This window comes from Homo sapiens, chromosome 10 (genome assembly GCF_000001405.40).
Source record: "Homo sapiens chromosome 10, GRCh38.p14 Primary Assembly".
NCBI classification, from domain to species: domain Eukaryota; kingdom Metazoa; phylum Chordata; class Mammalia; order Primates; family Hominidae; genus Homo; species Homo sapiens.
The window spans coordinates 125,804,883-125,821,826 of record NC_000010.11 but is presented as its reverse complement, the minus strand read 5'-3'; the positions used below and the strand labels follow the sequence as shown (position 1 = coordinate 125,821,826).

At 42.2% G+C, this 16,944-nt stretch overlaps 1 protein-coding gene and 1 non-coding gene across 23 annotated transcripts in view, besides 1 other annotated feature; one reads left to right on the top strand and one right to left on the bottom strand.

Annotated features, from left to right (window-relative positions):
- Window positions 1-16,944, top strand: part of UROS (uroporphyrinogen III synthase) — a 38,279-nt gene that overhangs the window by 1,432 nt on the left and 19,903 nt on the right. For 20 of the 22 annotated variants that reach the window (NR_136677.2, NR_136676.2, XR_007061985.1 and 17 more), the window contains exons 2-6: window positions 5,302-5,390; window positions 5,567-5,650; window positions 6,697-6,793; window positions 9,539-9,613; window positions 14,340-14,414. Coding sequence is in view for 15 of the 22 variants with exons in the window: in XM_011540127.3 (XP_011538429.1) it covers window positions 5,328-5,390; window positions 5,567-5,650; window positions 6,697-6,793; window positions 9,539-9,613; window positions 14,340-14,414 (394 nt within the window). In the remaining 7 variants the exon portion in view is untranslated. The remainder of the gene's footprint in view (window positions 1-5,301; window positions 5,391-5,566; window positions 5,651-6,696; window positions 6,794-9,538; window positions 9,614-14,339; window positions 14,415-16,944) is intronic. The other 2 variants (NR_136675.2, NR_136678.2) reach the window with 2 other exon arrangements.
- Window positions 2,005-2,087, bottom strand: MIR4484 (microRNA 4484). Its single transcript, NR_039704.1, has one exon. It is a non-coding gene; the product is annotated as a microRNA 4484 (primary transcript).
- Window positions 5,124-5,136: a transcriptional cis regulatory region, noted in NCBI's record as "UROS GATA1 binding motif range of bases targeted for CRISPR/Cas9 perturbation among clones U-1, U-2 and U-7". NCBI's record gives its function as "positively regulates UROS gene expression in K562 erythroleukemia cells {active_cell/tissue: K562}" and the evidence as "EXISTENCE:mutant phenotype evidence [ECO:0000015][PMID:27044088]".

Genomic DNA, 16,944 nt, shown 5'->3' with positions numbered 1-16,944 from the left:
CCTCTTTGGGTCGCACAACTGCAAAAACATGTTCCTGTAATGGAGAAGAGAGGAAGCTGTCAAAAAAGACCCATCAAAAGGCTAAGATTAGAAAAAAGACTCAGAAAGACCATGTGAACATATCAACAGAGTTGCACTGAGATACCATAGCCAATTTTTTTTCCTGTTTCTTTATACTTTTTTTATGGTGGTAAAAGATACATAACATACATTTTACCATCTTAACTATTTTTAAAGATACAGTTCAGTGGCATGAAGTGCATTCACATTGTGCAACCATCACCACCACTATCCATTGGCAGAACTCTTTTCATCTAGCAAAATTGAAACTGTAGTTAAACAACTCCCTTATTTTCCCTCCATGACCTTTCTACTTTCCATCTTTATTAATTTGACTATTCTAGAAACCTCATGTAAGTGGAGTAACACAATATTCTTCCTTTTGTGACTATTTCATTCAGCATGATGTCTTCAAAGTTTATCCCATGCTGTAGCATGCATTAGGATTTCCTTCCTTGTTAAGGCTGAATAATACTCCATTGCATGTATAGACCACATTTTGTTTATCTACTTATCTGTCGGTAAACATTTTGGTTACTTCTACATTTTAGCTGTTGTAAATAATGTTGCTATGAACATGAGTATCAAATATCTGTTCGAGTCCCTGCTTTCAATTCTTTGGGGTATATATGTAGCAGGGGAATTGCTAGATCATATGGTAATTCTATGTTTATTTTTTTGAGGAACTATACTTTTTTGTAGTTTGCAAATCTTTCACAGTAAACAGGATCACTTTTGTAAGACAAGTAGGGGAAAAAGCCTTACTTTATGCCCTCAGATTAGTTCCCAGTGTTGAGCTCATGGTCAAAGTGTGAATTAGAATAGTGAATGTGAAAGTAAATACAGTACTGACCCTAGGGAACTGAACTCAGCAGGTAGTAGATTGCTTACCACTCGTTCAGTGTTCATCTTTAGCTCAGAATTTATCTTAATGAGGCAGAGGGATGGTAGCAAGTGGTTAGGAGACTGAGCATGGGCTTCAGACCAGGATCCAAATTCCATCTCTCCCACTTACTGTGCTGTGTGACCTGGGACAAGTTACTCAAACCTCCCAGGGACTTGGTTTCACCTCCTGCAAATAAGGCTAACACCACCTACCTTGCAGGTTTAAGTGAGGATTGCAGTCTTGCATGTAAAATGCTTAGCCCAGTGTGATAGTTACTTTTACATGTCATCTTGACTGGATCACGGATGCCCAGATATCTGGTTAAACATTATTTCTTGGTGTGTCTGTGAAGTTGTTTTCAGAAAAGATGAGCATTTGAATGGATAGACTGAGTAAAGTGGATTGCCCTCCCCAAAGTAGGTGGGCAGCATCCAGTCTGTTGAGGGCCTAAATAGAACAAAAAGCCAAAGAAGGAAGAATGTGTCCTGTCTCCTCCTGCATGCTTGATCTGGGATATCTTCTGCCCTTGGTGCTCCTGGTGCTGAGGCCTTCACACTCAGGCTGGAACCTACACCCTTGGCTCTCAGGCCTTCAGGCTACAACACCAGCCTTCCTGCTAACAAGTCTCCAGCTTGCAGACAGCAGATCATGGGACTTCTCAGCCTCCATAACTGCATGAGCTAATACCTTATAACAAATCCCTTTCTAGATGTAAATATATGCCATTGGTTCTGTTTCTCTGAAGAACTCTAATACACCCAGTAATTAACATGAGTAAATGCTCAGTAAAAGGGTGACTGTTGTTATTGCTGATACCCAGAACACCATGACATAGAAGGTACGGGTTTGAGGTTTGGTTCTTTCTTACCAGTAAGGTGCCCTTATTCCAGTCATTTTTTTTTTCTTTTCTTTTTCATCAATGATTGATGAACATAAGTATGAGGGTAAAATGGCAGAGCAAGCATTAGACTGTAAATCTAGAGACAGGTTGAGCCCTCTTTTTACCAGTGCCGAGGTGAGTTTCATGTTGGAAGCTTCAGGAGCAGCTTCATTTCTGCTGGGGCTTCTCCCGCCTTTTTCCCCCTCAATGGGAAATAACAGGTTTCGTTATTTTCATTGGAAAAAAAGGCAGAGGAAACCCCAGACACTGCACGGTTTTTAGGCCCTAGCCTCACCAGTCTCAAGCCTCCTATCAAGGAGGGCCATATAGTGCCTCTGATCTGCTTGATGCAGACCCTAGGGTCCTTCCCACTCCCATGAGCCACCCACCAGAGTGAGCTAAGAAATCAACTGGCAGAGAGCAGAGTCACGTATGGCCAAGAGGAATTGTTCTGGGGGTTGTTTAGTAAGCAGGAGAGAGGGAGGAGAAGAAAAACTGCACAGGGATCAGATGCCTCCAGCAGAAGAAAGCGAGGCATAGAGATCCCTTACCATCTGAGTCACGTGGCACCAAATATGTTACCAGTGGCAAATCAGTAGACACCTGCAGCAACCTCAATCTTGTCTCCTCAGAAGAAAATTCAACTGGGGGCATAAGGCAGAAAAAGTGACCGAGGCAAGCTTCAGAGCAGGAGTGGAAGTTTATTTTAAAAAACTTTAGGCCGGGTGCAGTGGCTCACACCTGTAATCTCAACACTTTGGGAAGCCAAGGCAGCCGGATCACGAGGTTAAGAGATGGAGACCATCCTGGCCAACATGCTGAAACCCCATCTCTACTAAAATACAAAAATTAGCTGGGCATGGTGGCGCATGCCTGTAGTCCCAGCTACTCAGGAGGCTGAGGCAGGAGAATCGCTTGAACCCGGGAGGCGGAGGTTGCAGTGAGTTGAGATTGCACCACTGCACTCCAGCCTGGGCGACAGAGCAGGACTGCATCTCAAAAAACAACAACAAAAAACTTTAGAACAGGAAAGAAAGTAGAGTATGCTTGGGAGAGACCTAAGCAGGCAACTTGAAGGACAAGTGCTCCATTTTACTTTAAGGAAAATTAATCATTCTTTCTGTTTCAAAGATGCTGGGTAAAATTGAAATTGTTGTTTTCCCACAAGGTGAGCAAATAATGAGCATCTACTACAGGAAAGAAAGTCCATCAAAAAAGCCAACAATGGAGAGGCTCACAGCCCCTTTCCAATGTACAGGAATCTGAAACTGAGACTGAGGCAAGAGCAGCCTAGACCAGAACCCAGACACTGGCCCTCCTGTGCAAACACCCTCTACTCCACCAAGCCTCTTCCTAAAGCCCAAGGTGGCGACATGTTAACCTATCTGTGCACGCTTCTCAATTGATTTCTTTCCCAATCAGCCTGATAATATGTGACTCTAGCACAGCAAAGAATCATCAACAACAGAACCTTTTAATTTTATATTATTATTATTATTATTATTATTTAGACAAGATCCTTCTCTGTCACCCAGGCTGGAGTGCAGTGGCACGATTATAGCCCACAGCAACCTTGAACTCCTGGGCTCAAGTGATTCTCCCACCTCAGCCTCCTGCGTAGTTAGGACTACAGGGATGCGCCACTATGCCCGGCTCCTTGTTAACAACTTTTAAAATTTTTGTAGAAATGGGGTCTCGCTATGTTGTCCAGGCTGATCTTGGACTCCTGCTCTCAAGCAATCCTCCTGCCTCAGCCTGCCAAAGTGCTGAGATTACCAGGCATGAACCACTGTCCTGGCCTAATTTTATATTAGAAATGCTTTCAGTGTTTGGGAATGATTGTATACAGGATTAAAAAAGAAGACAAATGCTTTCAGTGACGTCAGATAAAGGATAAGGGTAGTAGTTGGATTTTTATTTGCAACACATCTCAGGGAGCTCTTTATTATCCAGAAGCCTAAACTTCATGCCAGCATCGGTTTTATTACCTAAGAGAACCACAGATTAGAACCCAGGAGAAATATTTTCTCTGTTTACAATGGGTAGATTGATTTTTCTTTGGGGTGTTTGCATAACTAAACTAAGCACTTTGTACTACAGTGATACTTTATATTTTTATACCTCTATTTTTCCCAAACATTTTCGTATTCAAAGTGTATGTGAGGCATAATATAGCGTAGGGGGTTAAAAGCACAGACTTTGGAGCCAGACTGGTTGGGTGTGAATCCCAGCTCTGCCACGTAGCAATTCTGAGACTTTGGATGAGTGTCATCCTCTGTACACCTCAGCTTCTTCCTAAGCCTCGTAGGTGGACTTAATGCATGTGAAGCTCTTAGAATAGTGCCTGGGAGGCAGTAAGTTCAATAGATCTGTTCGCTGTTTTTATCTTCTTTGAGTCACTCAGCAACCCTAAGGCTTGGTAGGGCAGAGGTTATTCCCATTTAACATGGGAAAAAACAAGATCACACCATGGTTAAGTCATAAAGCTGAGACCAGAGCTCAGGTCCGTTGGCCCTTAGTCCTGTGCTTATTCTGTGACACCATACTTCCTTCCTTATATTATCACCTTAGAGAAGGGAGAAGGTAAAAGGGCAAGCAGAAATGAGGAAAAGAGAGGAGAAATACATCTATAAGGCTGGGTGCAGTGGCTCACTCCTGTAATCCCAGCATTTTGGGAGGCCGAGGCAGGTAGATCACCTGAGCTCAGGAGTTCGAGACTAGCCTGGGCAACATGGTGAAACCCTGCCTCTAAAAAAAAAAAAAAAAAAAAAAAAAATACATCTATAAACAAGAAGCTTCCCGTTGCTATTAAGATAAGAGCCACATTCCCTAATATGACCCAACGAGACCCAAAAGAATTCTAGTGTGAGCATCTTTATGTTAATCTTTGGACACATTTATCAGTATTGCTTTAGTATTCTTAGAAGTGAAATTACAGGAAGAAAGAAGATGAAGTATATAAAGCTTTTGATGTCAACAAATCGTTTTCCATGTTGTTAGACTCTCTTATGATACTTGACGTTTAGAAAACATCATTTAATAAGTAGAAGAGTCAATATAATTATTTCCCAAAGTGCTTATGAGCTACTTAGCATATTTATCTTGAAATGGAAAAGCTATTTATCTCCTTAAAACATAAGATACCAATTTCTCTGTTTGTTGTTGATACAACCCTAAATTTACATCAGTTCTCTTTCCGGAACCATAAACGTTTGGCATAGGACACTTGGCTTTCACTAATGGTTTCATCTGTCTTTCCAAGTGATATCAACTGCTAACATGCTCTTTCTTGGCCTTATCAGTGACAGGGGTCTTCAGAAAGAACAAGCCCATTAGTGCTAAGTCATGGTGTAGGAGGGATAGGTCTCTTCCACAAGCATTTGATTGCCTTCTTCTTGTGTACCGTCCCCATCGGAAATTGCTTAGGAAGAGTCTTTGAGATCTAATTAAGATCTGTTTCCTTGCTCTGTCGCAGTGCCCTATAAGGACTGCCAGGCAATAATGAAGGTTCTTTTACTGAAGGATGCGAAGGAAGATGACTGTGGCCAGGATCCGTATATCAGGGTAAGTGGCCTGAGACTCCTTATCCCACAGTGTCCTTTCTACTGAGTCAAGGGGCCTGGAGCAGGCAGGGATGGGTTTTGCAAAACCTCAGAGGAACTGACGCAGAATAAATTGTTAATGTTCCCTTATTTTAAAAACAGCCCTAGCCAATCCAGAACTATATTCTTTCATTTCAGGAATTAGGATTATATGGACTTGAAGCCACTTTGATCCCTGTTTTATCGTTTGAGTTTTTGTCTCTTCCCAGTTTCTCTGAGAAGGTAAGGCCTGTTGTGACTGAGCACCATGTTAGTGTTTGATTTCTCCCTTGCCAGCTGAAGCCAGAGAGGGACTATTTTACTGTCTTCTTATTTTATTCCCAAACTTTAAAACATGGCAGCATAACTTCACCTGGCTCCAGGAGGCTGCTGCTGTTGGGAGGTTCTGACTGAGCCTCTATCAGCCCCTCCAGAAAGCCACCCAGACTCAGAGATTGGGGCCCAGGAGAGCAGGTCATGGTGAGAGCAGCAAACCTGCATTGCTCTCAGCAGTCCTAGAACCCTTTCACTCATCCTCTCATTTAATCTACCCCTCACCCCCAACTTCTGCAAAGCAGGCCAGGGAGGTATTATTTTCCCGTTTTAGAGATTGGGGTCTCAAATTAGGCAACTCAGCTAAGACCTCTAGCAAGTAAGAGACAGGGCTGGGACTCAAACCCAGGGCTTCTGCCCACAACTTCAGTTCTTCTTCCAGTGAGGAGTGATAAAAATTGCAGGAGACAAGTCCAGTAAAGCCTTCCAAATGCTTCAGAGTGAAAATTCAGTGCCCACAGCTTCAGTGAAGTCAGATATGTACAGCAGCCTAGTGCCTGGCTCAGAGTAAATGTTCGGTAGATGATATCACCATTATCCTCTTTGAAAATCAGGACTTCAGCATTGATATCACCCCCTGAATATTCCCATTTTTATTACAGATTCGGGTCAAGTCTTCCCCCACTACCTGCACCCCACTCTAATCCCAGGCTGCGTCAGGCTTCCCCTCTGTGCTGCAGTGCACTTATCACCCTGTGTTTCACTGTCTCTGCCCTAGACTCTGAGCTTCCTGAGGGAAATACTGGGAATAAGGAATTCACCTGTGTACCCTAAAAGTCCTAGAATAAATAGTTCCAGGCACATAGTAAGCACTCAGTAAGTGTTGGGGGGATGGGTGGAAGGAATTAGTTTGCCTACTACTATTGTGAAGCATTTGGAATTCTGAGTCTTAGCTCCTTGGAAGATGTTGAACATAGCCATCGTATAAAATGTCTTTATTGCTTTTTGGTGTGCAGCTTTCTCATCCTGAAGATTACGGGGGACTCATTTTTACCAGCCCCAGAGCAGTGGAAGCAGCAGAGTTATGTTTGGAGCAAAACAATAAAACTGAAGGTGAGGGTGGGTCTGCTGTGGATTCCACTGGACATTTATTTACTCTTATTTCTCCTGCTGGGAGACTAAATTCCAGAAGCAGCTGCACTTCTAAGAGAAGTGAGTGCTTAGTGGTATCAGGTCACAGACTCTGCCTTGGGAAACAGGAGAACAGGGCTATCTCCTAAACTCCCAGACAGATGACCCTGAGGAGGACTTTCCCCTGTCTATTCGTTGTTCACCTCCTAGGGACTGATATATCCCCTTAGAAGGTATCATCTGAAAATAGGATAAATACTACTTTCCTGAAAGAGAGATGATGAAAAAATCTAACTATGAGAAAATGGTCAGTGCCACCATGTCAGGCACTTAGTGACCCAGTCACCTCTTTGACTTGTCTTCCCACCTCCGTCCCTCACTATTAGAACAGTATGAAAATGGCAGTGCCCATTAACAGAACCCTGGGTTTCAGCCTGAGCAAACACCTTAATAAATGCAATTGAACAGCTTCCTAGCTAACAATTATGGAGTGCCTGTTGTATGTCAGACCCTGTGTAATGAATACTTCACGTTCATTACCCCACTTAACCCTAGATAACAATCCAGAGGCACACATTGCTATGATCTTATGTCTTATGTTACCATTGAGAAAACTGAGGCCAGGATAGTAAGCACAGAACAAGTCAGTGCAGAGCCAGGCCTCACACTCGGGCCACCCACCTCCACAGTTACACTGATGAGCGGAGGCAGCGGGCAGAGTGGTTATGCAAGGGCTTTGGAGTGAGTTAGTCCTGGGTTTATGCAGCCATTTGGACATTAATGAGTTCCTTGACCTCTCATCATGGGATTACTACTAATAGTAATGGGATTATCTACTAACAGTAGACTATTAGTTAGGTAGAACTTACTGAATGCTCACTCTGTGCGAGACTCTGTCCTGAATACTTTTTCCTGTGAGATAGATGTGCTTAGTATTTTCACTTGGCAGATGAGGACCCTGGAGAACAAAGGGTATGGAACTTTCCAGGCCCCCACAATGTGTAAAGCACAAGTGCAGGATTCAAGCTGCAGAGTCTGAGTCCCAAAGGAAAGCATCCAGGACATTACCTGGAGCAGAGTGGGCATGGAGTAAGTGACAGTGGTGAGTTTTGGTTATTCTGTCTCCACATTTAACCAGGCTTCGCTGTAGCCTAAACATCCCACCTTCTTGGTGATTTCATACACACATTCACCTCTTGTTGAAAAGAAAGCGTGAGAACCTAAGAAACTCAGAGCCAGCCAGGCGCAGTGGCTCATGCCTGTAATCCCAGCACTTTGGGAGGCCAAGGTGGGCAGATCACTTGAGGTCAGGAGTTCCAGACCAGCCTGGCCAACATGGTGAAACCCCATCTCTACCAAAAAATACGAAAGTTAGCTGGGCGTGGTGGCACATGCCTGGAGTCCCAGCTACTCAGGAGGCTGAGGCACGAGAACCACTTGAACTCAGGAGGCAGAGGTTGTATGAGCCGCGATTGTGCCATTATACGCTAGATGGGGAAGCATGTGTACTCTTTCCCAGTGGTGCTCTGGGTGCTTTTTCTTGCAGTTGTATTTTTTCTTTTTGTGTATGTTTTGAGGATGAAGATAATGAAAAAGAGGAAAACCCTAGAAAGGTCACTATAACTCTTTCTGGTGCTTTATAATAAAGTTTAAAATGCATTTTCCCATGTATTTTCTTATTTTGATTCTCACAACAACCATAGGGAATAAGCAGTAGGAGTGTAGTTAATCCCAGTTACCTTGATGAAGAAACAGACGAGGTGCGTTAACTGACTTACCTGGGACACACACGTTAAGGGGCAGAGCTGGCTCTGTGGAAGGCTTTCTGACTCCACCCAGTGCTCACTCCAGTTGTTCTGCTGTGAGGCTTGGAAAGTAGTTTGTTTACATGCTATGGATAACTTTTGAATAAATACTATTGATATTTATGGGGTAGGAAGCAAAGTGGAACTCAATCTTTGGTTACCATTTCAAAGGGAATTTCCCTTAATGTAAAGGGTAGAGGAATGCTCTTGAATTTAAGGGAAAGTTATGTTCATAACCAGATTTTGGAAAGGAAGAACCATTATTTCCCTGTTTTCTAAAAATGTAATGAATGCCCAGTAGCTTTATGATATATTTATACAATCCATTTTCTCTTTGTGTTTCTTTAATCTATATTTAAAGATTTTGTTTGATCATAAAATGATAATATTCTGTATCAAATTGTGTTTGTTAATTGACCTGAAATTTATTATTTTTACTTTGGTGTAATGGATAAATGAACCCTCTCCTCTGAGATTACAGTTTGTTGACTGCTTTCAGATTTATGTCCCAAATAAACCAATTGGATTTCCTTGTTAGACATTTAAGTTGCTTTTTTTAAATGACCAGTGTCTTTTTCTTTAAAAGTCTAGATTTAAATTTTTGATTTCACTATGCAGATTAATTCTTCAAGTTATGTTGATTTCGTGGTTCCCATTAAAATTCTTCTAGTACCAACTGTGGAGATAGGCTAATATTTCAAGCAAGGAGTACTAAAACATTTATGAAAGCAATTTTTTAAAAATTGCCTATAAAACATGAACAAAGTGAAAATGGAATTTTAGTTTGAGATGCTGTTTTTTACATTTGGTTGCTAATAGTTTGCTTTGCTCACAGTTTCTTAGGGTGAACAAGCAGCCTTGGGCAACAGTCCAAATGGCCACTTTGGTATTTGCAATTCACATATCATTTCATGTTTTACAGTCTGGGAAAGGTCTCTGAAAGAAAAATGGAATGCCAAGTCAGTGTATGTGGTTGGAAATGCTACTGCTTCTCTAGGTAAGGAGTCAAGGTAAAAATAAAACAACAAAAAATGGCTTAGCCTTTTCAGTTTTAAAAAACAGTTTAACTCAGTTTAAAAATATTATTTTTTGCTTATTAAATTTGCAAAAATTAATTAAGTATACGATACTACTGATAAGAATGCAGTGAAACAAATATAATCAAACATTTCCAAATGGCATTAAAAATTGGTTTACATCTTTTGAGAACCACTTGGTCAGTATGTATGCAAAAGCTTTATTAAAATGTTTGTACCCTTTGGCTGACTAATTCCATTGTGAATGTACATAATGCCACTGAATTATGCACTTAGTGATTAAAATGACAAATTTTATGTTATATTTTTACTATAATTTTTTTAAAAGCCTAAATCTCCAGATAGTGATATCATAGTTGTTTTTTTTTGGTTTTCTTAATATTTTGTGCATTTTTCCAGTCTTGAGTCTATTTATTCTTCTTAAAGCATAAAATGTAAATAGTAATCATTAAAAATTAACATTGAGCATTTTAAATACTTAAAACAATGCTTAGCAATTGTCATAAATTAGCCTGTAACTTTGTTTCAGAACAGTTCAATTTGTCCAGTGAATTTGAAAATATTAGAGGAATGTATAATATGAGTGAAAATAGTTTAAGAATTAAAAGCACATTTTCCAGAGAACAAAATGAGGCTGGGGAAGAAACCAGTTGGGAGTTGCTAAGCTAATTAAAAGATGATTCCTAGATCTTCTGAGCAGCATGACTTTTACCACAAGCTCAGCAGATCAGCCAGGGAAAGGGAATTAGTGGCTTGGTTGCCAAGGAAACCATCTTCCCTCCCGCACATCTCTCTCCAAAAATAAGTTAAGAATTTGCTTGTTACTTTCTTTTATCATTTTTTCCTGAATGAGAAGAGGAAAGAAAATAGCCAGTTTCTTTCATTCTCTATATTTCCTACCAAAAACTCAACTATCAAATATACAGTATATTTATACATTTTCCAAACTTTCACACATTCACTGATAAGCAAACATTTTGAGCATCACATCCCCTTCAGTTTGATTTCGGTAGCATCACTATGCATTTTGCTGTCACTGTCCTGTCATATGAGAAGAAAATGAGAAAAAAGACTATGGTGATACAATGAATGATGAGCATCTATGTCTTGAGACTTAGAGTGGCTGAGAGTGGACCATATCAAGTGCAGCACAAGCAGCAGGGCCTTGGTCTCAGTTAGGCACTCACTGGACTCAGTCTGGTCCCTGTTTATTCAGTTGTGAAGGAAAAGGACATGTTCTAAATGCAGGGAACATATTATCAAAGGAGAGAGGAAATTAGAAGTGTTGTAACTTTTAAAAATGTCTTTGAAAGGAAACCACATTTTTCCTTGACATGAAAGTCAATCACCCAACTTTGAACATTCTATTTTAGCTCACCTTTTCAGATATAATAATGTACAAAGGAGCTCTTTTGAGTAGGTACAGGGACAAGGCATTGCTTGAACTCTCTGAGGTTTCTGTTCAACTAGAATCTCAGCAGGAGCCTGGAGAGTTATCAGAAGTTGAGCACCAACAGCTGGGAGGAGACCAGGCCCAATGTATTATCTTTGCTGCGTAACAAATTACCCCCAAATTACCCCAAAACTTACTAGCTAGAAACAGGCATTTATCATCTCAATGTTTCTGTGGGCCAGAATCTGGGCATGATTTAGTGGGCTTCTCTGTAACCAGGCCATGGTCAAGCTGGTGGTCAGGGCTACAGACATTTTGAGGCTTGACTTAGGGGAGGGTCTGCTTCCAAAATCACTCACATAGCTGTCAGTGGCCTCAGAAGATCTGCTTCCCAGCTCACTCACATGGGCCTCCCGAGAGGGCTACCTAAGACATGGCAGCTGGCGTCCCCTGTCGCAAGGCAATCCAAGAGAGAGCAAAAGAGAGCACCTACCACTGAAGCCACAGTCTTTTTATAACCTAATCTTGGAAGTGGCATCCATTTCTTCTGCCATTTCTTTTGGCTTGAATCAAGTAAGTCCAGCCCACACTCAAGCGGAGGGATGACACAGGGGCATGGATCACAGGGATCATTAGGAGCCACTTTCCACTGCCCACAAGCCCTCTAGTCAAGAGCCACCCCTGGCTCCCTAGAGCCTGGGAATCAGGTTAGGAAAGTTGGACATTTGAAGCAAAGAGAAGACAAGGTAGACATTTTTCTTGAAGTAGAAATGAAAACAAGGGTCCAGTGAATAGCAAGGGATTTCGGTGTGGAAGTCCAGTGAGAGAAGATGCCAGTATTTCTTTATAAATGTTGCACGCTGACATAATTTTACAGGTATTATTGATTAATAATAGATGGCAAAAAGTACATGCTGGCTGGGTGCAGTGGCTCACACCTGTAATCCTAACACTTTGGGAGGCAGAAGCAGGCAGATCACTTGAACTTAAGAGTTCAAGATCAGCCTGGGCAACATGGTGAAACCCTGTCTCTATTTATTTGAAAATAAATTTTTTTCAAAAGTACATGCTATGTAACATTATACAGAAAGTCCTCACTTAACATTGTTGATAGGTTCTTGGAAACTGCCACTTCAAGTGAAATGATATATAATGAAACAAATTTTTTTTTCCTTATCAATGTTGTAATGAAAACATGTTGAATGAAACGATGTTATTCAAGGACCTGCTGTATGTCGTTTCACTTACAGTGGCAATTTCCAAGAATCTATTGTTGACATTAAGTGAGGACTTACTGTACTTGGTCTACATAAAATCTCCTGAGAACATTATTTGGTTCAATAATATATGCATATTTTAATAACATTTTAATTTTTATTGAAAAAGCAAAGATGGTTGGCTTGTGGTTTGATACCTTGCAACTCAGCCAGCCATATCCTAGGAAAGCCTTCCATTTGGCTGCCCAAAGGTCAGGTGCCCCAACTTTCCCATCTGATTGCAAAGTTGGACCTGGGCGCCATTTAGTAGGCACTGTTGCTTGGCCTTGTAAACCCAGACCAGTGATGTCACAGAAGATAGCTTAGCAATTAACAACTTGGAATTCATAACACAGAAAGACTGTACCAGCCTGGGCAACATGGTGAAATCTCTTCTCTACCAGAAATAACAAAAATTAGCCAAACTTGGTAGTACATTCTTATAGTCCCTTTAACTGTGGCAGTCAGTGTCTTAACCTCTCAAATATAAAAAATACTCTCTGGCAGGTTTATTTAACACAGTTGGAGACAATTTGAAGTTTCACTGTCAGCTTTTACTTGGGCAGGGCCCTTAAGATGGGCTTACCCAGCCAGAGTGTTGGTTGAAATGTTGTACTGACTTGAAGCAGAGTCAGTCTTGCCACATGCAGGGACTGAGACCTTAGACCAAATATGCATTCCCCAAACATTTCTTGAGAGCCATCTGTGGACTGTGGGGTGGACCGGGTAGCCCCAGTCTCTGCCCTCACAAATAGAGCTGGCCACTGCTTAATAGCTTCCTTCCCTCTCAAGTACAGTAGTAATTGTTCTGTTCACAGGGTTGTGGTGTGAGGATCAAATGAGCAAGTGCTTACTTTGTGATCAGCAAAGCTATATATGAGAGTTAATGTTCTGGTTATGGTTATTATTGTTTCATTACTTGGGAAAAATGCATATTTATGTCAATATTGATTACCAGCGTCACTGCTAAGTTCTTATGTCTCAGTTCAGTTCCTGTGGGATTTTTACAGGTTTTTTTGTTTACTTTTGTTTTTGATGCGTTTAGCTCTTCTAAGCTCAGACAGGAGGTCCAGCCTCGGTTGCCACTGTAGCATAAGCAAGGGCTTAGTTCCTGAACTGAGTTACAGCTTTATTTTTCTTTTGATTCAGCATGTTTTTAATGATCCATAAGTTAAAAGCTGCTGGTGTTTTTATTAAAGCTGCCATTTGTTACTAACCAGGCTCTGTGTGACTCCTAAGTGGAAAGCCCACAGCACTTCCTTCCTCAGAGGCATTCCACATTCCTGTGAGCAGGTAGCAGTGTTGACTGAGCCAGTCCCTTAGGCCTCCCTTCATCAGCACGCTTTGTGGAGTGGCCAAGTGTTTGCTGTCTGGAAAAGTGCAGGGGGAGCCTGAGTCTGTTAGCTTCTTACTTGGTTCATGAATAGGGATCTCACAAAAGTGCTGGTATAGCCCCTCATCCTAAATGACTTGTATTTGTAGCGCTGTGGGTCCCTGTTAGCAGATTATTATGAAACCTTTCCTCCCCTTCCTTCCATTTTAGTCTGGCCATGTCAAGCCATAACACCTTTCTGGATGTGGTCTGGCCACATCCTCCCAAAAAAATGAAGGCTCTGTAATGCCGATTCCTGCAAAAAGTACCAAATGCCCATCATCTCCTTCCTGACTGAAGAGAAAACAGCCTTTGTTGAGCACCTTCTAGATGGCAAGCACTTTGCTCTTATTATCTGACACGATCCTTAAAACAGTTCCATGTGGTTGGTTTTTCCCCCTCTTGTAGATGAGCTATGTGGGGCTCAGGGAAGCTAGTTAAGGCCTTACTTACCCAGCCTACACAACTGGGGTGCAGGTACCAGGACCTGATGCTTTCTCTTCTGAACAGACACTTGTGATCTTCCCTCAGTAGCTTTCAAGAAAAGACATCCTCTATGTGATTTGTAAACTGCATACCTGTGTATTTGCACGTTAAAAAATAACGCTGGAACAAAAGGACTTCAATAACCGTGTTAAGAAATACATTTCTTTGTGGTTTTCCAGTGAGTAAAATTGGCCTGGATACAGAAGGAGAAACCTGTGGAAATGCAGAAAAGCTTGCAGAATATATTTGTTCCAGTAAGTAGAAAAACATCACTCCAAATGAAGCCATTTATTTTTTGTTGACCTCACAACCACTACCTAGGGAAAAGAATATTTCCTCAGTGCATTCTTGGTGGTGAGATTGATTGGTGAGCATCGTATAACCCACTCTGGGAGCATAGCCTATTTGTATTTGTGTATGTCTATACTTTGTGAGGTTTAGCCCACTTCCTTCTACCCCCTGTACCAAAGAACTTGACTTGAACATAACACAAAATAAAACATTTGGGAGATAAAAACAGTGGAGAGATCACTTGAGGGATTCCAAAGAGAGCAGAGGCAGGAGGTGTGAGTGGGTACTCTCCCCTTACTGAGGACTGTCCTTTCCCTTCTCAGGAGCTACTTCTGTCTCTGAATTCCCTCTCCCAGCTTGCTCCCAGGTAAAGAACTGACTCATGATTGGGCTGCCTGTGGACTTGGATTTAAAGTGGCACTTGTTCTAGGGGTGTTAGCATTTAAATGGGGACTTAGTCTTAAACTAATTATGGAATTGTAGGCTTCAGAAGATACATAGGCAAAAATTCTTGGAGCAAGAGGGATGGGAAGGCTGACCGTCTACTTGTAGGGCAGCCCCACCTCTAAGGTGCATCTCCCTTCCTCTCTGTTCCCTGAATGTCCAGTACAACCGCAAGCTCTTACACCCTTGTCATTTGACTCCTCTGCTGTAGGTGTAAGATCATACACCCCCATGAGAGCATGAAGTAGAACTATCTTATCTTAGATTGCTGAAGAGGAGGAAATCCAGGCTTTCCTAGAGATCATGAGCTGGCAAACTTCATCTGTTAAGGATATTTTGGGCTTTGCAGGCAAATGGTCTGTCAGAACTACTAATCTCTGCAACAGAAGCATGAGAGCAGCCATAGGAAATAAACAAACAATGGGCTTGGCTTTGACCCCAGGCTAGAGTTTTCTGACCCCTTTCTAAAATTGCTTGAGTGTCTGCTGAGCTGGGAGGCCAGGGTCAGATGAACTGCTGACAGCTGAGAGTTTCCTCTAAGGTGGTCCCAGGAGAGGGGTATATGCCTTGGCCCTTGGGTGGTGAGATCAGGATGAGTGGTATAGGGAGAGAGTATACCTTAAATAGGTCTCTTTATGGCTTCTGAAACAGTGATAGATGGTTTTGTTTCTGGTAAAACAAAGTATTTATGTTATTTAAAAAAAATACTCCTAAAGGTGATGTTGGCCTTTCTTGACGTGCAAACTTGTACACTAACGTCTTATAAGGCATTACTTACAAGTCTTCCTGCCGTAAGTCATTGCTGTTGCCTGAAGGTTCTCTAGCTTATATTTTTCTTTGTGTTACTGGGAGCTTGTTCTAGAGAAAGTCCTGCGTCTTTTTCTACACTGTGGTCTGAGGATCCCTGGAGCTTAATTAGGCCCCTGACAGAGTCGTCTGGGTTGGGGGCGGCAGTGAGCAGTCAGGGAACAGCAGAGATACTGCTGGGCTCAGTGGATCCTTTCCAAGTTCTCCAATTCTCCTTTTTTCTCTTTTCTAATTTCTTTTAAAAATAACTTCGTTGTACCTTTCCTGAGTCACTACATGCTCGGTGTTAACGTTGAAGACTAGCATTTACTGAGTGCCCAGCGTGTCTCGGGTACATAGACACGTGGCCTGTATGATGTCATTTAATCTTCACCATCACCCCATGAAGTCAGAATCGTGTCCACTGCAAGCTGTGCTGGCCAGTACAGTAGCCACTAGCCACATACGGCTATTTAAATGTAAATGTAAATTAATTGAAATTAAATACAATTGAAAATTTAGTTCTTCAGTCACACTGGGCACATTTCACAAGCTCACTTGTCACTGTGGCCAGTGGCACCAAATTGGACCACACAGAACATTCCCATCATCACCAAAAGTTCTTTCTGACTGTGCTGCTATAGAGACTCTTGGGGGTCCAAGGCCCAGATCTTGTCCAAGGTCACAAGCTATGAAGTGGCAGGCTGGAATTCACACTCAGCACAGCAAGGCCACTGCTCATCCCATGGCCTGTCACATTCAGAGGCCTGACTGGCATCTGCTCCATGCCGACCTGCTCTCAAGGAGATGCTGGCCAAGCACCTCCATCCACTCTGATTTACAGTGACTGGGGCTCCTGCAGGGATGAAGACGTAAGTGTGCTTGACTCTGTGTTTGAATCTGGTGGGCAGAGGCTTAAGGAGCCTCCGGTTTAGAGGAACTACACGGGCCTTTTCTGGCCACTCAGATGAATAAGCTGTAGTCCCAGAGTGTTTCGGCCACTTGGCAATCCTGAGCCTGTGCACTCCTTAGTTCAGTGGATGTGCGTTCATCGGCTCGGACATGGCTTTCAGGTATTAATGCATTGACTGACGCCTCTCTTGCCCCACCCCCCATATTGCTTCCCACATCACAGGAGAACAAGTCAGTTCAATATGGTTCGGCAGATGTTTACCCAGGAGCACCTGTGTGCCAGGCCCTTTGCAGGGCGTTGGGACTGAAGAGGAGTTTAACTCCATTCCTGTCTTCTGGAAGTTCCCAGCC